At 49.9% G+C, this 20126-nt stretch overlaps 1 protein-coding gene across 5 annotated transcripts in view, besides 2 other annotated features; it reads left to right on the top strand.

Annotated features, from left to right (window-relative positions):
* DENND2A (DENN domain containing 2A) overlaps positions 1-20126 on the top strand; it is a 123042-nt gene that overhangs the window by 96074 nt on the left and 6842 nt on the right. For 3 of the 5 annotated variants that reach the window (NM_001318052.2, NM_015689.5, NM_001362678.2), the window contains 3 exons: positions 621-769; positions 17892-18069; positions 19595-19636. In NM_001318052.2, the coding sequence (NP_001304981.1) occupies positions 621-769; positions 17892-18069; positions 19595-19636 (369 nt within the window). Of the gene's footprint in view, positions 1-620; positions 1820-17891; positions 18070-19594; positions 19637-20126 lie in introns of those variants that run through there. The other 2 variants (NR_134477.1, NM_001318053.2) reach the window with 2 other exon arrangements.
* Positions 182-682: an enhancer, noted in NCBI's record as "H3K27ac hESC enhancer chr7:140244505-140245005 (GRCh37/hg19 assembly coordinates)". NCBI's record gives its function as "activates a minimal SCP1, AML or CMV promoter by ChIP-STARR-seq in naive H9 embryonic stem cells {active_cell/tissue: H9 hESC(naive)}" and the evidence as "EXISTENCE:reporter gene assay evidence [ECO:0000049][PMID:30033119]".
* Positions 17486-18100: an enhancer, noted in NCBI's record as "H3K4me1 hESC enhancer chr7:140227087-140227701 (GRCh37/hg19 assembly coordinates)". NCBI's record gives its function as "activates a minimal SCP1, AML or CMV promoter by ChIP-STARR-seq in primed H9 embryonic stem cells {active_cell/tissue: H9 hESC(primed)}" and the evidence as "EXISTENCE:reporter gene assay evidence [ECO:0000049][PMID:30033119]".

Raw genomic sequence — 20126 nt, 5'->3', positions numbered from 1 at the left:
AGAGTAAGACTCCATCTCAAAAAAAGAAGATATAGACACAAAGCACAAAAGCTGAAAGCACATATCATCAGAAATGGAGTGGGATGGTGTCAGGGTTACCTAAAAAACACCTTCTTGAGGTGGCAGCGAGTCTCCGAAGTGCTGCTCAGGCCTGCTGGGCGTTCCATGCTAGTCTGGGATTTCCACCTAGCAGGTAACAGTTCCTCAAGAGACAGAGATGCTCTCCACTGGGACTCTCAGGGACAGAACCGTTTTCAAAAGTCCTATAAACTCTCCATGGGGAGTACAGATATGCTGTTGCCAGAGAGAGCCCCGCAACCATGTGGGGCCGGAAACCATTGATTTTGCCATCCTCTGTCATCCCGTTCGTCCACACTGTCCTCAGTCTCATAGCTGAGTGTGAGACGCTTGCTTCCCTACCAAAGCTACCTCCTCCGCCCCCCGTCTTCTGGCATCTTTCTTTTCCCCCAATCCTTTTGTTTTGCTTTTTTTCTTTCCCTTTTCCCCCACCAGTGGGTCACCCCTGATGAGGACCTCAGAGCCCTGGGACTGCGACACCCGTGAGAGGCCTGGCTGCGTAGCTGGGCCCCTCCTTCATGGCTGCTCCTGTTCCCTGGCAGGTGATCGAACTGTGCCGCCCGCTGGACTCCCGGCTCGAGCACGTGGACTTTGAGTCTCTCTTCTCCTCCCTCAGCGTCCGCCACCTGGTCTGTGTGTTTGCCTCCCTGCTTCTGGAGAGGAGGGTCATCTTCATTGCAGACAAGCTCAGGTACCCGCCTTGGCTACTTCTGCTAAAGCGTTTGAATGACAGTCGCTCTTGGACCCTCTAGTCTGTAGAGCAGGTGACCGCCTAGCATTGAAGAGTAAGCCCTTCTGAGATAAGGATGGAATAGGCTGGGCGCGGTGACTCACACCTGTAATCTCAGCACTTTGAGAGGCTGAGGTGGGTGGATCACTTGAGACCAGGAGTTCGAGGCCAGCCTGTGCAACATGGTGAAACTCCGTCTCTACTAAAAATAGAAAAATTAGCCAGCCATGGTGGCCCACGCTTGTTATCCCAGCTACTTGGGAGGCTGAGGCACGGGAATCGATTGAACCTGGGAGGTGGACATTGCAGTGAGCTGAGATCTCACCACTGCACTCCAGCTTGGGCAACAGAGGGAGACCTTCCCTCCTGCCCCCACAAATAAAGGATGGCCAGGCACGGTGGCTCATGCCTGTAATCCTAGCACTTCGGGAGGCCGAGGCAGGCGGATCACCTGAGGTCAGGAGTTCAAGACCAGCCTGGCCAACATGATGAAACTCAGTCTCTACTAAAGATACAAAAATCAGCCAGTCATGGTGGCTCGTGCTTGTAACACCAGCTACTTGAGAGGCTGAGGTACAAGAATCGCTTGAACCCAGGAGGCAGAGGCTGCAGTGAGCTGAGATCGCACCATTGCACTCCAGCCTGAGCAACAGAATGACATTCCATCTCAAAAATAAAAATAAAATAGGCCAGGCGCAGTGGCTCACACTTGTAATCCCAGCACTTTGGGAGGCCGAGGCGGGTGGATCACAAGGTCAAGAGATTGAGACCATCCTGGCCAACATGGTGAAACTCCGTCTCTGCTAAAAATACAAAAATTAGCTGGGCATGGTGGCGTGTGCCTGTAGTCCCAGCTACTCAAGAGGCTGAGGCAGGAGAATTGCTTGAACCCAGGAGGCAGAGGTTGCAGTGAGCCGAGATCATGCCACTGCACTCCAGCCTGGTGACAGAGCGAGACTCCATCTCAAAAAATAAAAAATAAAATAAAATAAAGGATGGAATCAGTCGGCAGCTCAGACTGGAGATCTGGGGGGCACACTGTTTTGCACTGCTGTGTGCGACTTCCCTGGCATTGGTGGGCTTTCCACTCATTCTGCCATGTGTCATACACTCTGCTATGTGGTAGGAAAACAGAGAAAAGACACAGCTGGCATGGTGGCTCACGCCTGTAATCACCGCACTTTAGGAGGCTGACGTGGAAGGACTGCTTGAGGGAAGTAGTTTGAGACCAGCCTGGGCAACACAGTAAGACCCCCATCTCTACAAAAAACGTAAAAAAAAAAAAAAAAAAAATTAGCCAGGTATGGTGGCTCGAGCCTACAGTCCCTGCTACTAGGGAAGCTGAGGTAGGAAGATCACTTGAGCCCAGAAGTTCAAGGTTGCAGTGAGCTATGATCATGCCACTGCACTCCACCTGGGCAACAGAACAAGACCTTGTCTCAAAAAAAAAAAAAAAAGAAAAGAAAAGAAAAACACAGACTTGTCTCAGTGCAGTGGGGTAACAGAGACATAAGCCGACTCTCCAGGACCACATTAGAGGCAGGTAGAGGCAGTGAGTTCTGGAGACCGAGGGAGGGCACTCACTCCCAGGGAGGCGAGTTCTGAGGGCCAACACTCAGAACAAGTAGTCAGCACATTGCAGGCAAAAGGAGCCATCCTACATAGATATGGGGACAGGTGAGGCCTAGCTGTCACCTTCAGGACTGTAAAGTAGGCCAGGCGCGGTGGCTCATGACTGTAATCCCAGCACTTTGGGAGGCCGAGGCAGGTGGATCACTTGAGGTCAGAAGGTCAAGACCAGCCTGAACAACATGGTGAAACCCCGTCTCTACTAAAAATACAAAAGAATTTAGTTGGGCGTGGTGGTCCACGCCTGTAATCCCAGCTACCTGGGAGGCTTGAAGAAGAATCGTTTGAACCCGGGAGGCGGAGGTTACAGTGAGCTGAGATTGCGCCATTGCACTCCAGCCTGGGCAACAAGAGTGAAACTCAAAAAAAAAAAAAAAAAAAAAAGAGAGAGAAAAAGAACTGCAAAGTAGTTCACTAGGGCTGGCCCAGAGAGAGGAAGATGGGGGAGGGAGAGATGAGCCGGCAGTGGTGGACAGAGGCCAGCTCACAGAAGGCTGCAGGGCCATGCTCAAGAGGACAGACCATCGTGAGGGCATCCCTCCTCACCGTTAAAGCAAATCCCCTCCCATCACACACACAAACTCAGTGCCCCATAGGAGGCCACCCCCGTCCCAGTGGGCACATTCAATAATTTGCTAAGGCCACGTCACAAAACAAAGAAGATCCGGAAGGAAATGCAGACAAGGACTTGGGTTCGTTCTGAGCTTCTAAAAAGAAGCTCATTTTTGAAATACTGAATCAGAGCCTTCTTTGCTTTGGAACTGGGGGCACAGAAGCGTGAGGGGTGTGGCTGCAGCCCCAGGAAGGGCTGAGATGCGGGGCCAGCCAACCGGGTGGTGCAGATGAGGCCACCTGAGAAGTCCATCTGGAAAGAAGCAGTGCCAAAAACAAAAAAAAACCTGAAGCACTGTGGTTTGGAGAGGAAATCTGACTCTGAACTATGGAAAACAAAAGGGAAGGAAAAAAAAAGGCATAGAAGAATGGAAGGGACAAACTCCGTAGATGTGGAATTCCTCAGGAGGCGGGGCGGGAAGCGGCCCCACCCTCTCCCCTCATGCGCCGCATCTGGTCACCTTTCTGATGCACCTCTTTGGACAGCAGCCATCTGGCTGTTCCCAGCCTGCTCCCACCCTGTGTTTTAGTTCGCTATGCACTTTTAAATGTCAGCGTGATCGTACTCCCGGTGCACTTTTGTCAGCTCAGGAAGCAGGCCCTCTCTGTAAGCCTTGCAGCTGGTGCTGGGCGCTGAGGAGCTCTCCAAGCTCCCGGGCACTGGGGAATTCAGCCCAGGGAGTTCTCAAGGTTGGAGCCCTGGAAGCCAGGATGAGTAATAACCCTTCAGTGGCCAGGATCGGATTTCATCAGCACCATAGTAACTGTCTTTATCTTCTCCATCCCCCACTCCCTCCATCCGCTAGAGGTGGAATTCTCAGGCTTGGATGTGGGGGAGGGGAAAATGATGGATTTCAGAAAGGCCTGGGCTAGAAGTGGAAAGCCAGCCAAGGAAACCCAGCACCCCCCAGGAGTGGTGGTGGGGACAGAGTCCCCCGGGAACGTGCCTGCGGGGTGAAGATGCTAGACTTGGGGAGGACCCACCCTGAGAAGATGTCTGGGAAGGGCACAGCTGGAGAGGAGCCGTGGGCCCCCTCACACACCCCAGCCTCCCCCAGACTCCCTCCAGGGGGAAGAAAACAAAGTATCATCCATTTTTCTGGTAAAAGTACAGTGAGACACCAGTCTCACTGGTGACAGAGAGAGACTCTGTCTCTAAAAATTAAGGAGAAGAAAAAAAACTTAAAAACATTAAGTGCAGGGAGAGAAAAGGTGGGAACAGAAAAGGGAAGGGGCCTTGTCAGAGACAAACACATCTCCAAAGGGCAATGCAGGAGGACATGTCAGAAGGCTCAGGGCACAAAGAAACCTGGAAATGCCAGCCAGGCTCAGTGGCTCACGCCTGTAATCCCAGCACTTTGGGAGGCCGAGGCGAGTGGATCACCTGAGATCAGGAGTTCAAGACTAGCCTGGCCAACATGGTGAAATCCCGTCTCTACTAAAAATACAAAAATTAGCTGGTCGTGGTGGCGTGCACCTGTAATCCCAGCTACTCGGGAGGCTGAGGCAGAAGAATCATTTGAACCTGGGAGGCAGAGGTTGTGGAGAGCCGAGATCATGCCATCGCACTCCTGCCTGGGCGACAGAGCGAGACCCTGTCTAAAAAAAAAAAAGAAAGAAAGAAACCTGGAAATGCCTGCCCCAGTGACGTCTGAGAGAGGACTTGACGCCTCCGCCTTTTTGCTGGACAGATTTCCGGGTGGACAGGTTGGACGCTGGGCCAGCCCCTCCCACAGAGCTGCTGTCACCAGAGACAGACAAAAATGAGCAAAGTCCAGTGGCCGAGAGTGGACCCTGCCTGGATTCCTGGGCCTTGGCTGTTCCCCAGCCACCCTCCCTGCCCTGCTCTGGGACCCCTCAACAGAGGAGACAGTCACCAGTGCAGTCCATAGGAAAGGCACTGGTGTTTCTCTCCAACCTTCCATAGTGCCTGGCATTCTGCCCTTGGAGGTTTCGTCTTTTCAAACGGCTCATGCCGTGAGTGGGTCAGATGCCAGCTGTGGCTGCCACAAGCAGGTCTCCCCACGGGCACGTTGTGCCCATCAGGGGTTTTCTTCTGCAGCAGCTGCCAAATGTCAGGCGCTGTGAGGATGGGATTTCTGTGGGAGAAGAGAAGGCAGCAGGAACGTGGATAATTGTGGTGCCCTCCTTGGAGCGAGAGCCAGGCCATGGTACAGTAATGGTGTGCGAGTGTGAGAAAGACCGTCATTGGGTTTTTAGACCCTTTACAGCTTTCAGAGGTACACATCCCTCCGCCATCACTCAGGGAGGTTTCCCAGAGTAGGGGGGACCCCTGAGCATCCTTAGCCGTTGGCCCTGGGTCTCCTCGTTCATAAGACGCGGCCCCGCATGGCTCTGACTTTCCGGGACTCCGCTGTCTTGTTTTCTCTGAAAGCAGCCCTCGCTTTTCCTGTTACAAATGGCTCCACATGCTCTCCCCGCTGCCCAATAAATCGTCCTTCCATCCTACACGGGTTCCATGCAGACCTGAAGAGATGGAAATCTGCGTAAAGAAAGGCCCGAAGAGCTCTGAGACAGGAAGAGGGTAAACAACGCGTGAGCAAAGCTGATGAGGATGACGGCAGCGACGGGGCGTGGAGTGGCCTCTGAGCGGCCTCTGTGCCGGGCGCCTTCTGAGGGTCTGACCTGCGTCATTTCATGCCCCCTACGGCCCTGTCACATGGGTAACTAACAGGCGTGCAGAGGATCCGTCATTCTGCTCAAAGAAGCAGGGAGTGGGAGAGCTGCCGGGCTTTGGAGAGGACGGAGGGAAAGCAGCTGGGCTGCAGACTCCAGGGTTGGGTGAAGGGCAGGGTCTGGGGCCCTGTCCGTTTACAGAAATGTATAAGGAAAGTCTCCCTAGCACAGGCCCTCAGGACCCGCTTTGTGCTCAGCAGTCAGGCTAACAGGTCATGGGGAAGTCTGTGCTTTTCTCCTCAGGGCCCTCCCCGCCTCCCTTACAGCCTTTGGCCTTCCAGCAGGGTCCCAGTGAGACAGGTATGATCAGGTCACCCCCAAGGCCTCCCCCAGCTTTGAAACTCTCTGACTCCATGGGCCAGGTGGAAGAATCCGTATCCACCTCGATCTGTCTGATTTATGGGAAAGTAGCCATAGGGAATTGAAGTGTTCTTTGGCCAGGCCATGACAAACAAGGGTTTGGGGACCAATGGTTGGCTGCAAGTTGCCTGACCTGGAAAATTCTGGAAAGTCTTTAGGCCAAGCGCAGTTGCTCACGCCTGTCATCCCAGTATTTTGGGAGGCTGAGGCCGGTGGATTGCTTGAGGCCAGGAGTTCGAGACCAGCCTGGCCAACATGGTGAAACCCTGTCTCTACCAAAAAGACAAAAATTAGCTGGGCGTGGTGGCACACGCCTATAATCCCAGCTACTCAGGAGGCTGAGGCAGGAGAATCACTTGAACCTAGGAGGCAGAGGTTACAGTAAGCTGAGATTGAGCCACTGCACTCCAACCTGGGCAACAGAGCGAGACTCTGTCTCAAAAAAAATAAAGAAAGAAAAAATTTTTTAAAAAAGGGCCAGGTGCAATTGCTCATCCCTGTAATCCCAGCACTTTGGGAGGCCAAGGCAGGTGGATCGCCTGAGGTTGGGAGTTCAAGACCAGCCTGGCCAACATGGTGAAACCCCGTCTCCATTAAAAATACAAAAATTAGCGGGCATGGTGGCGGGCGCCTGTAATCCCAGCTACTTAGGAGGCTGAGGCAGGAGAATCACTTAAACCTGGGAGGTGGAGGTTGCAGTGAGCTGAGATCACACCGCTACACTCCAGCCTGGGCAACAGAGTGAGACTCTATCTCAATTAAAAAAATTAAAAAAAGAAAAAAGAAAGTCTTCAGGTTAAATTACAGCTGGTACCCTCATCCCCAGTACTCCTGGGGCTGCACATGCACTCATGCCCAACCCTGCTCCGCTCACGTGGCAGAAAGCCTCCTTATTCTCCTGATTTCCAGCTGTAGCCCCTAACTTAATGAGGGCATGGAACAGGGCATGAGAACAGGACATGTCACAGACTCAGTGCGTGGCCCGGTGACATCCCAGAGAGGACCTTCGCCCACTCTAGGTCGGTAGCCACCCCCGCAGCACTCTCCCCCACAAACACAATTTATTCTCTCATCATCGCTGTGAGTCTCCCACTGCAAGAGGAAGCTTCAGGGAGTTATGGCAAAGATTGTATGAGTTATAAAAGGGTTTTAAGTTGAGCCAAAAATCTATCAAGTTTAGAATAACATTTTTGCTCTGTTTTATCTTTAGGCTGGACATTGAGTGTTCTAGTGGCTCTGTCAAGCAAGAGTTTGACAGATGGAAAGGAAAGAATGCTGTTGTGATGGCTTGTTCTGTGGTCATGACAACAGATAAATACTTCTCTACACCCTCGCCTTCATTTTCCTGATGATGAACATTTTGTTTTTTACTTTACTAATTTCAGTTCCCCAAAGTTTTGGCTAAACCTACAGACCAGGCTGAATGATAAAGTCAGAGCTGCACGTAAACAAATATGTGCAAAAAGTTTTAGAGGGAGGTCGGGCATGGTGGCTCACGCCCATAATCTTAGCACTTTAGGAGGCCAAAGCAGGAGGATTGCTTGAGCCCAGGAGTTTGAGACCAGCTTGGGCAACATAGCAAGACCCCATCTCTTAAAACAAACAAACAAACAAACAAACAAATGAAAAACACCTTAATAGGGGACAAAGTTTTTAATATTCAAGGAATTTATGAGCTGGGCATGCTGGCACATGCCTGTAGTTCCAGCTACTCAGGAGGCTGAGGTGGAAGGATCACGTGAGCCCAGGAGTTTGAGGCTAGTGAGCTATGACTGCACCACTGCTCTCCAGCTGGGGTGGACCTTGTCTTTAAAAAGCAAATTAAAAAATAAAACAAATAAGAAATTGACTTATATGTTTGTAGTGCGTTAAACCATAAGCTAAATGATAGACTACTGGCTAGTGATAAGTAGGATTAGGTGGGCAAATCTTGACACATACAGGAGTTTGAACCTTGTCTTTGACATATAGGTAACTACACAAATAAGTTCATATGTAGCTGTGCACTTTCATCCTCTTATTTGTTCGGTTTGGTTCATTTTTAATAAGTTTACACAAGCTTAAATGAGAATCCCATGTCCTTTTTAGAATTGGTTGCACCCAGCAACATTTGCCATCCCAGGAGGTTGGGCTTCTCACCACACCTCTCTAGGGAGATGAGTTTGCCCAAGGCCTAGCCGAAAGTGTTTAAAGCTGCCACCTTGCTGCTCTGGCATCCATAAGATACTTCAGAGGTCTAGCTAGTCCTCAGCATGGTTGACAGAGTCTTAGAGATAAGTACATTTAGTTCAGCAAAGTCCTATGAAAAACACAATTTTAGGCAGGTGCAGTGGCTCACGCCTGTAACCCCAGCACTTTGGGAGGCTGAGACAGATTGATCACCTGAGGTCAGGAATTCGAGACCAGCCTGGCCAACATGGTGAAACCCCGTCTGTACTAAAAATACAAAAATTAGCTGGGCATGATGGCAGGCGCCTGTAATCCCAGCTACTCAGAAGGCTGAGGCAGGAGAATCACTTGAACCCAGGAGGGAGGCTGCAGTAAGCCAAGATGGCACGACTATACTGCAGCTTGGGCAACAGAGCAAGACTCCATTTCAAAAAAAAAATACAATTTTAATAGTATAATTGTACAGCCTGATTAAATGTTAAGTATTAACCACCTATTTTTGCATATGAACACCAACAAGATACCAATTAGAGCAAGATTTAGAGTTTGGCATAGCCACAAATGCTGTTGTCTTCTAATCCAGACCCATCACTGACATATCCTGGGGCTGGAAGCTTATTCCAGTTCTTCTCTTGGAGTCGAATCCCTCCCAGACTACACTGGCTTTGAAACACTGTCATCTTCACCTTTTGGATGCACTGCAGCCACTGGAAACCTCTCAGACACGTTTCTCTGAGATTCTTTTTTTTTTTTTCCTGAGATGGAGGCTTGCTCTGTTGCCCAGGCTGGAGTGCAGTGGCATGATCTCGGCTCACTGCAACCTCCACCTCCCAGTTTCAAGTGATTCTCCTGCCTCAGCCTCCCAAGCAGCTGGGACTATAGGCATGTGCCACCACGGCTGGCTAATTTTTCTGCATTTTTAGTAGAGACGGGGTTTCACTATGTTGGCCAGGCTGGTCTCAAACTCCTGACCTCAAGTGATCTGCTCGCCTCAGCCTCCCACAATGTTGGGATTATAGGCGTGAACCACCATGCCCGGCCTTCTCTATGAATTTCTTAGTGAGTGTCACCATCATTCTTTTGTTCTGTCTTGGCTAAGGAGCGCTAGAATTACCTTCCTGTGACACCCTTCGTTCTTTTGATGGCCTCAACAAAAGCTCCTGTTTCCAGCTCCTGGCCTTTGCTCTCTCTTCTGGGTTCATCGTTTGTAGATGTTAAAGTTGGAAGGACGGCCAGGTGCAGTGGCTCAAGCCTGTAATCCCAGCACTTTGGGAGGCCGAGGCAGGTGGATCATCTGAAGTCAGGAGTTTGAGACCAGCCTGACCAACATGGTGAAACCACATCTGTACTAAAAATACAAAAATTAGCTGGGCATGGTGGCACATGCCTGTAATCCCAGCTCCTCAGGAGGCTGAGATAGGAGAATCGCTTGAACCTGTGAGGCAGAGGTTGCCGTGAGCTGAGACGACGCCATTGCACTCCAGCCTGGGCAACAAGAGCGAAACTCCATCTCAAAAAGTAAAAAATTAAAAAAAAAAAAAAGAAGCTGGAAGGACATCAGCAACGATCTAGCGATGATCTAGTCTACTTTAGTTATTTCACAGGTGAGAATCTGAGGCCTGGAGCAGTTCAGGGCTTTACCTGAGATCACGCAGAGAGTAACAGAACTAGTTGTCTTGAAGCCCAGCCTGTGTTCGTTTTCAACTGTGTGGCACACGGCCTCAGGGTTTGCAAGTACAGTGATGGAAACCAGGAGCCACTGCATGGTGACTCCCACCTCCTAGTAGGTTTCACCAGGCACCAGACCACACGTGAATTTACCTTTCACTCATGTTTTCGGGAGTGGAGCACCAATAGGAGAGCTACTTTGCTTGGGATACTAAAGGGCATTCACTGAATCAGCCTTCCAGTTCCTGGGGTGTTCCTCTAATTCGGGAAACTCTTCATTTACTTTTCTGGTAGCATCTTAGAGGAAGCTCTGTGCTGGATCCTTACTGCTTCATAGAGAGTTGGAAGCCAGCTGAGCATAGGAACACCAAGTATGGAGCAGAGGCTTGGTAGCAACCAGAACTAAAAAGTTGGCTCCAGGAAAACTTTGGCATTCCTTACAAGTGCGTCCTGATGTTCTGGAATACTGCTCCAACACTCAGGAACCACCACCCAACAGCAAAACATCCTTGGACCCAACCCTTCTCACCCATGCCCAACTTTTAACCCTGAGGCCCAGCCAACCTCCCACTGGGGCCTTCTCTTCCCTGCCCCACTTTTGTACAATTGATCACAGCTGTGAGTGCTGGCGTTTCTTTCCTCCACACCACTGTAATGCAAGCCAGCTGCGAGTGAGGACTCTCTTTCTATGTCTTCCTTCAAAAACACTGCCTCTTCTCTAGCCCCTCCACCTCCACACTCTGCAGCAAGCCCTCTTGACCAGTCATCCCTAGCATCCCCAGAACCACTGACTATTGGCATGTTCCTAAGGGACCACCAGTCCCAGGAGTGCCCACCTCCCATCCCCCTCCTTGAGGGCTCCTCGGGCCTTCACAAGTCAGGGAATAAAATTTTATTACCACTTGCATCAGGGATTGAGAGAAACAAGCTCCATCCAAAATAATCCTTTCCTGCTCTATCATTTATTTTGAGGAAAGGGCTGCCACTCATGGAATTATTCACAAAATTTGACCTTTCCTTTTAGTGTTTAGGGGCAGAATTGTTTTTAGAACATTGATGTGGGCTGGGCGTGGTGGCTCATGCCTGTAATCCCAGCACTTTGGGAGGCCAAGGTGGGCAGATCATGAGGTCAAGAGTTAGAGATAAGCCAGGCCAACATGGTGAAACCCCGTCTCTACTAAGAATACAAAAATTAGCTGGGCGTGGTGGCACGTGCCTGTAATCCCAGCAACTCGGGAGGCTGAGGCAGGAGAATCACTTGAACCCTGGAGGCAGAGGTTGCAGTGAGCCAAGATCGCACCATTGCACTCCAGCCTGGGTGCCAGAGCAAGACTCCATCTCAAAAAAAAAAAAAAAAAAAAATTAACCAGGCATTGGTGGCACGTGCCTGTGATCCCAGCTACTTGGGAGACTGAGGCAGGAGAATCGCTTGAACCCAGGAGGTGGAGGTTGCAATGAGCCAAGATCGTGCCACTGCACTCCAGTCTGGGCGACAGAGTGAGACTCCATCTAAAAAAAGAAAAAACGTTGACGAGGGCTACAGAGCAAGAGGAATAAGACCCTTCACCTGCCTGCTTGTTGCCGTATTGTCTCCAGCACCCTGTGCTCCATGGGCTCCAGCTAACGAGGTATTCATGATAACCAGGTACAGAAACGTTTGTTGCAGCCACAACAGTGGGATCAGACTACTCAAAACAAACTTACCACAGGAGATAGTCAACAAACGGGCAGCTCCTCCCACGCGGCCAGCTGGTTCCCCAGCCGAGTCGTCATCATTTCTCGCATCAAGCCTGAACACTGCTGTCCTGGAGCCCCATGCATCCAGTTCACTGAGTGAACTTTGGCTTCCTTTCTGTCACGTTTCTCCACCAGCCTCTGCATCTAGCACCGGCATTGCTGGTCATCTTTCCTGACCTTGCTCCCACGACCTTCTCCTCCAGATGGTTCACACTCACTGCAGCTGAACCAGGGCCTCCGGGTGTCCCAGGCCCTGGGGGCCTCTCTGTCACTGAAGGCAACATAGGGCTTTAGGAGTCACAAAGGGCTGTACAGCAAGGAGCCCCAAGGGGCTGTACAGCAAGGAGAAGGGAGCAGCCCCTTGTACTTCCTCCTTCTAGGAATGAGACCACAAGGAAGTAAAAATGGAGGTAGCCAGCCAGGTGCAGTGGCTCACGCCTGTAATCCCAGCACTTTGGGAGGCTGAATCGGGTGGATCATGAGGTCAAGAAATCGAGACCATCCTGGCCAACATGGTGAAATCCCGTCTCTACCAAAAATACAAAAAATTAGCCAGGCATGGTGGTGCACACCTGTAGTCCCAGCTGCTTGGGAGGCTGAGGCAGAAGAATTGCTTGAACCTGGGAGGCAGAGGTTGCAATGGGCAGAGATCGTGCCACCGCACTCCAGCCTGGCAACAGAGTGAGACACTGTCTCAAAAAAAAAAAAAAAAAAAGCAGGTAGCCTTTTCTTTGAGTTGGGAAAAAAAGTTAAACATGTTTTTGTTTTGTTTTTCTATTGCAATGATTGGGAAAAAAAACACACATAGGCTATCCTCCTTTTTATATACATTTAATTTTTTGTTTTAGAGATGAGGATCTAACTATGTTGCCCAGGCTGGACTTGAACTCCAGAGATCAAGAGATCCTCCCACCTCAGCCTCTGGGATTCAGTAGCTGGGACTACAGGCACATGCCACTGTGCCTGGATCGTAGGGTGCCTCCTCATGCCTGCATTCCTCTGAGCAGCAATCCTGCCTTCTCCAGTCTGCAGGACCCTTCTCTCCCTACTCTGCCCCATCCTACATTCAGAGTTACTTTAGCCTCATTTAGCCTCACTCTTCCTACCTTAAAAATCCAAAAGAAACTGAACTCAATCCCCAAGAACTCTTCCAGGTCTAAATTCTGTCATTCTGTAACTGTGAAGTCAAAAGTGCTTGAACCACAAGTCTGACGCGTAGAAGGAATCTTAAACACAAATACTGCATTTTTTCTTCTCCTTTAACGGACTAAAGTCAGAGTTTCAAAGACTAGGGAAATGGACCATGGATCTTCTCATGAACCACTTCGTTTCCAAGTCACATTTAGGCACTTTGGCAAACGTGCTATAAAAAGAGACTGGTTTCATGCAAAATACCTTCATGCAGGGATTTCCTTCTTAAGGTCTCTTTTATTTTTTTGAGACGGAGTCTCACTCTGTTGCCCAGACTGGAGTGCAGCAGCGTGATCTTGACTCACAACAACTTCTGCCTCTCGGATTCAAGCGATTCTCCTGCCTCAGCCTCCCTCCCGAGTAGCTGGGACTACAGGCACCCGCCACCACATCTGGCTAATTTTTTTGTATTTTCAGTAGAGACAGGGTTTCACCATGTTGGCCAGGCTGATCTCGAACTCCTGACCTCAGGTGATCTACCTGCCTCAGCTTCCCAAAGTGCTGGGATTGCAGGAGTGAGCCACCGTGCCCAGCACCCACTCCCAGTCTTCTAGTCCAAATCACTGGCTTCAAGCCCTTTTCATTGCAGCCCACAATGAGAAGCACATCTTACAATCAGACCCAGGGTATGCCTTCCCACCCGCCCCCACCACACACACAGATAGTTGTTTTGTTGTTGTTGTTGTTGTTGTTTTCCTTTGAGACAGAGTTTCGCGTTTGTTGCCCAGCCTGGGGTGCAATGGCGTATTCTCGGCTCACTGCAACCTCCGTCTCCTGGGTTCAAGCGATTCTCCTGCCTCAGCCTCCTGAGTAGCTGGGATTACAGGCACACGCCACCATGCCCGACTCGTTTTTTGTTTTTGTATTTTTTGTATTTTTAGTAGAGACGGGGTTTCTCCATGTTGGTCAGTATAGCCTTGAACTCCTGACCTCAGGTGATCCACCCGCCTCAGCCTCCCAAAGTGCTAGGATTACAGGCACGAGCCACCGCACCCGGCTCACACACAGATAGTTATTTACAGCTGGGAAACGTGCAGCACACTCTCTTATTTTCTATTCTGTTCTTTTTGTTCTTGTTTTTAATGCTGATCGCAACCCTCTAAAATGATTTCAAGACCCACTAATGGGCTGCAAACTATAGTCTGAAAAATCTTGCTCTAGAAACAACTATCCTCACTTGTATGTGAATGTTCTGATTTTCTAAGTCCTGACTTTACAACCATAGCACACGAGCATAGCAACTTTGTAGCCTGGCTCCACGCATCAACATAGATTAGTCCTAAAATAAAAAAATAAACAATTTAGAACAAAGTGAATTCAGTACATTCAGTGGTTTATAGATCAAGGAACTAAAACATAAATGGTGAGGAATTAACTAAAGCATTAACATTCTTGAATATTTGAGAGGAAGTGATGCCTTAGGGAAAGGTATCTCTGCTTTGACAGAAGATGTAGATCTAGATCCTTCGAAAGTCATAGAAGTCGGCCGGATGTGGTGGCTCACGCCTGTAATCCCAGCACTTTGGGAGGCCAAGGTGAACAGATCACCTGAGGTCAGGAGTTCGAGACCAGCCTGACCAACGTGGTGAAACCCTGTGTCTACCAAAAATACAAAAATTAGCCAGGCATGGTGGCGCATGCCTGTTAATCTCAGCTACACTGGAGGCTGAGGCAGGAGAATCACTTGAACACGGGAGGTGGAGGTTGCAGTGAGCTGAGATCATGCCACTGTACTCCAGCCTGGGAGACAGAGTGAAATTCTGTCTCAAAAAAAAAAAGAAAGACACAGAAGTCACTTCACCCTAAGCTCTGGCTGGATTCTGGATAGTATTCTCCTTAATATAAGTCCTAACTTCATTATTCTCTCACTCTTTTTTTTTTCTTGGTATCTTCCAAATGCAATGTGTTACTCTTACCCAGCTAATAAAGAAGACAGTGTAGGGATAAGAATGAAATCTTGGGGTAGCGTTTTTCTCATCTTGGGGGTGATCATTTGAAAGAAAAGATAAGGACCGAATATCAGTGCGATGCATGGATGCCATGCTGCTATTTCCTGACTCCAGTGAGTATCAGGAGAACGATTATTTGCAAAGACAGAGAACAGGAAGGTTAAGAGACAGTGGGATAAATGAACAAGATTCAATAGTACCATTATTAGTCCAGGGGCCCCCAAATTGGGGAATGGAAAAGAAGGCTATGTGTACATATATTTTTTAATTTTAATTATTTTTAATTGTCATATAAAGATGGCATATATTTATCATGTACAACAATGATGATTTTGTTGTTGTTGAGACAGGGTCTCCCTCTGTCATCCATGCTGGAGTGCAGTGACACGATCACGGCTCACTGCAGCCTCAACCTTCCAGGTTCAAGTAATCTTCACACTTCAGCTTCCTGAGTAGCTGGGACCACAGGCACATGTCACCACCAAAGGCTATTTTTTTTTTTTTTTTGAGAAACAGGGCCCCACCATGTTGCCCAGGTTGGTCTCAATCTCTTGGGCTCAACTGGAACATAATATTTTAATACACACATATATCTTGTTGTTGTTGTTGTTTTGTTTTGTTTTATTATACTTTTAAGTTTTAGGGTACATGTGCACAGCGTGCAGGTCTGTTACATACGTATACATGTGCCATGTTGGTGTGCTGCACCCATTAACTCGTCATTTACATTGGGTATATCTCCTAATGCTATCCCTCCCCCGTCCCCCTACCCCACAACAGGCCCCGGTGTGTGATGTTCCCCTTCCTGTGTCCAAGTGTTCTCCTTGTTCAATTCCCACCTATGAGTGAGAACATGTGGTGTTTGGTTTTTTGTTCTTGCGATAGTTTGCTGAGAATGATGGTTTCCAGCTTCATCCATGTCCCTACAAAGGATGAACTCATCCTTTTTTATGGCTGCATAGTATTCCATGGTGTATATGTGCCACATTTTCTTAATCCAGTCTATCATTGATGGACATTTGGGCTGGTTCCAAGTCTTTGTTATTGTGAATAGTGGTGCAATAAACATACGTGGGCACAGGCCTTTATAGCAGCATGATTTACAATCCTTTGGGTATATACCCAGTAATGGGATGGCTGGGTCAAATGGTATTTCTAGTTCTAGATCCTTGAGGAATCGCCACACTGTCTTCCACAATGGTTGAACTAGTTTACAGTCCTACCAACAGTGTAAAAGTGTTCCTATTTCTCCACATCCTCTCCTATTTTTAGTAGAGATGGGGTTTCAACATGTTGGCCAGACTGGTCTCGAACTGCTGACCTCAGGTGATCCACTCACCTCGGCCTCCCAAAATGCTATGATTATAGGCGTCAGCCACCGCACCCAGCCTGACCATTTTTCTTGAAGAGAAACTCCCAATATTTCTCCCAGTGTTTTTTTTGGTGTTTTGTTTCTGTTTTTGAGGCAGTGCCTCACTCTGTCACCCAGGCTGGAGTGCAATGGCGCAATCTCGGCTCACTGCAACCTCCGCCTCCCAGGTTCAAGCAGTTCTCCCACCTCAACCTCCTAAGTAGCTGGGATTACAGGCGTGCATCACCATGCCCAGCTAATTTTTGTATTTTTTGATAGAGATGAGGTATCACCATGTTGGCCAGCCTGGTCTTGAACTTCTGACCACCTCAGCCTCCCAAAGTGCTGGGATTACAGGCATCAGTCACTGTGCCTGGCCTCTCCCAATGTTATTATTTTTAAAAATTTCAATGCATAAAATGGTTAACCCTCAGTCATCTCTTTTTTTTTTTTTTGAGATGGAGTTTCATTCTTGTTGCCCAGGCTGGAGTGCAATGGTGTAATCTCAGTTCACTGCAACCTTCACCTCCTGGGTTCAACCGATTCTCCTGCCTCAGCCTCCTGAGTAGCTGGGCGTACACCATGCCTGGCTAATTTTTTGTATTTTTAGTGGAGACGGAATTTCACCATGTTAGCCAGGCTGGTCTCGAACTCCTGACCTCAGGTGATCCACTCACCTCGGCCTCCCAAAGTGCTGGGATTACAGGCGTGAGCCACCGTGCCCGGCAGCCCTCAGTCATCTCTAGCATATCATCTTTGACCAGAATTCTGGGTAAGGCTCAACTGTATATGAGCTTCACTTGGAACCCATTTGGAGCTGACTGCTGGCATGTGAGTACCAAAGGAGTTTTCTGTCCTTTTCCCGGATTTCCTAGGTGTTCATGCTCAGCTGAAAGAATGCTTGGAACAGAACAAAGCAAAAGCTACAGTGTTTCAATAGAAAGCATCTTCAGATCTTCAGTAAGAGAAGGAGCATTCATGAGAAAATAGGCTTTCACCGTTTGTGTTTTTGTTTTGTTTGTGTAGGGGGCAGGGAGTAAGGGTGGAAATGAATATAAATTAAAACCTTACAAGAGTCCAGGCATGGTGGCTCACGCCTGTAATCCCAGCACTTTGAGGGGCTGAGGTGGGCGGATCACTTGAAGTCAGGAGTTCAAGACCAGCCTGACCAACATGGTGAAACCCCATCGCTACTAAAAATGCAAAAATTAGCCAGGTGTGGTGGCGCGTGCCTGCAGTCCCAGCTACTCAGGAGGCCGAGGTGGGAGAATTGCTTGAACCTGAACCTGGGAGGCAGAGGTTGCAGTAAGCCCAAATCACGCCACTGCACCCCAGCCTGGGCAACAGAGTGAGACTCCGTCTCAAAAAAATTAAAAATATAAATAAATAAATAAATAATAAATAAAAACCTTACAAGAGTATAGATCACAAAAAAAGGTCAGGGCGGGAGAGTGCAGGGCGTGCAGCTCACATGTGGAAACGCACTTGTAAAAATTATCCAGGACGTTAAACTCATCCCTGTAGCTGTGCCTGCAAGCCTCTCGCATAGGCTCTAAGTGCCTGGTGTGGCCTGTGCTGAGACCATCATGTGCTCCACCGGATCCACATCCACGTGTGTCCTTTCCTAGTCATCCTGTCTCTGGGAGGAGCCTTCTCCCCTGGAGGCTTCCTCGGGCCCTCGCTGAGTCGGCCTCTCTCCCTGTTCTCTCCCCGGCTGCAGCATCCTGTCCAAGTGCTGCCACGCGATGGTGGCGCTGATCTACCCCTTCGCCTGGCAGCACACCTACATCCCGGTGCTGCCACCCGCCATGGTCGACATCGTGTGCTCGCCGACGCCCTTCCTCATCGGGCTGCTCTCCAGCTCGCTGCCACTGCTCAGGGAGCTGCCGCTGGAAGAGGTGAGCTCCCACTCAGCCCTGTCCCCCTCCCTGCAGGGTGCGGAGAACAGAGCGGGGCGCTGGCTCTGCAGGCATCATGGAGCGGTTCTCAGAGCCAGCAGTGTTGGGGAGCAGGGCGTGGGGGCACCAGGGCTTTGTCTGGCATGGGTCCTGCCCAGAGGCTGACTCAGTCAGACCCTCAGTGACTGCAAACACTGTTTTCCCTTCCAAATGAAATGCCTGGTATGAGCACCTCTTGAGAAGGTCAGCAATGAACAATTTAGCCAGATGTCAAAACTCTTAAGTCATTAATAGCCCTCTCCTCTCCCCTGCCCTCTCGCCCACTCCCCCACATTGAGGAGCTAGCAAGATCTGGTCCGTTGTCATATCCGTTACAAATGTTTTTAATCCCCAAGTTCTGGGTGTCCAGTTTAGCATCGAAGCGGGGAAAGTCCTGCTTGGCACTTCTGGAGTTACTTAGCCCCAGCCCCTTCCTCTAAATGGTTTTGACCCGGAGGACTGGGGACTTCCAGCAGTCAGAGAAGGAAGCTTAAATAATGTTGCTCAGCCCTGAAGCTCCAGGAGGAACGCCTGTCCCTCTGTCCTGCATTTGTGTCTGGGTCCCTAGAAGCTGCTCCTCTAATTGCCCAGATAGTCCTAACGCCCCATTAAACATCACCCACCGGCCTTAGGGCTTTCAGTGCAGGCTTGAGGGCAGCCAGGAGTTCGTCTGGGTGCCCTGTGCTCCTGCAGGTGGCTCAGTTCAACCCCGGAGGGTGTGAGTGGGAAGGAAGGAGAGGTGGCCCTCCGCTCCTGGGCAGGTCTCTGGGATATGGGAGAACTCACATGTTTCCAGCTGTTGTTATGGTGACCATCCAGGCCCCTGGCTCCTCCTCCGTCACGGCCAGTGGCCTTGGCTGGGGTCTGAGTGAGGGTCGCGCTCTCAGGAGCAGCAGCACTTGTGGGACCTTTGCGCCTCAGGCACCTCACTTGCCCCACCCTGGTCCTGTCCCAGGTCTCATTCTCACTCTGAGGATGAGGGAGGAAGTGCTTTATCCTGAAAGCCTTCAGCAGTGAAAGCCCAAAGCCTAACCGAGTCTGCAGGTGGGTTTCTCTCCTCCTCTCCCCTGGAGGGAAATGATACGGTTAAGTGGGCAGCTGGGGGAAGGACAAGGCAGGGGCCCTAGGGTGGGAGCCAGGGAGGCCTGCAGCGTCTTTTGCCTACCTCAGTAGCCCACACCCTAAAAGGCAGCGTGAGAAGCTCTGCCTCAGCCAGTGTGAAAGCCAGGCGGTGAGTCCAGCCACAGCACACATGCATCCCAGCCTGCGGTGTCGGTGTTGAAAGCATGCAGCTCAGGAAGGACCCTCCCCAGCCCTGCTCTTCATTACCTGTGGCTACCGTGGCAATGTCAGGAAACCACAAATGGCTCACCTCCAGCCCCGCCCCAGCTGCCTCTCTGCATGCCAAGAAGGAAGAAGGCTATGAGTCCATCCCTATCCCAGAAGCCCTGGTGACAGTAACAGTCCCTTTCGTCTCATCTCATAGGTCCTTGTGGTTGACCTCGTCAACAGCCGGTTCCTCAGACAGGTGAGTGAGGCCAGCGACGGCCTCCTGCTCCCTTTGTCTTTACCTATTTGTTGTTTGGGGCTCAGCTCTCCAGCCTTGGAAAGGCTCTTTGGGATTGCAGAGCAGGGTGGCAGAGCTGTGTGACCCCAGGACGGGGCTGGGCTGAGGACAAGCCAGAAGGCAAGGGGCAAAAAGGAAGGGTTTGGGCAAAGGATTGCTTTCTACGTGTTCTGACACAAAATGGTTTTCTAACAATTAGAAAAAGATTCTTTGTAATCTTATAACTATAGGCACCTAGATTTTTCATTTTTAAAAATAGCTGGGTGCAGTGGCTTACACCTGTAATCCCAGCACTTTGGGAGGCTGAGACAGGTGGATCACCTGAGGTCAGGAGTTCGAGACCAGCCTGACTAATATGGTGAAACCCCATCTCTATTAAAAATACAAAAATTAGCCAGGCATGGTGGCAGGCACCTGTAATCCCAGCTACTTGGGAGGCTTAGACAGGAGA

The sequence above is a fragment of the Homo sapiens genome, chromosome 7 (assembly GCF_000001405.40).
Source record: "Homo sapiens chromosome 7, GRCh38.p14 Primary Assembly".
Lineage (NCBI taxonomy): Eukaryota > Metazoa > Chordata > Mammalia > Primates > Hominidae > Homo > Homo sapiens.
This window is presented reverse-complemented; position numbering and strand designations above follow the sequence as displayed.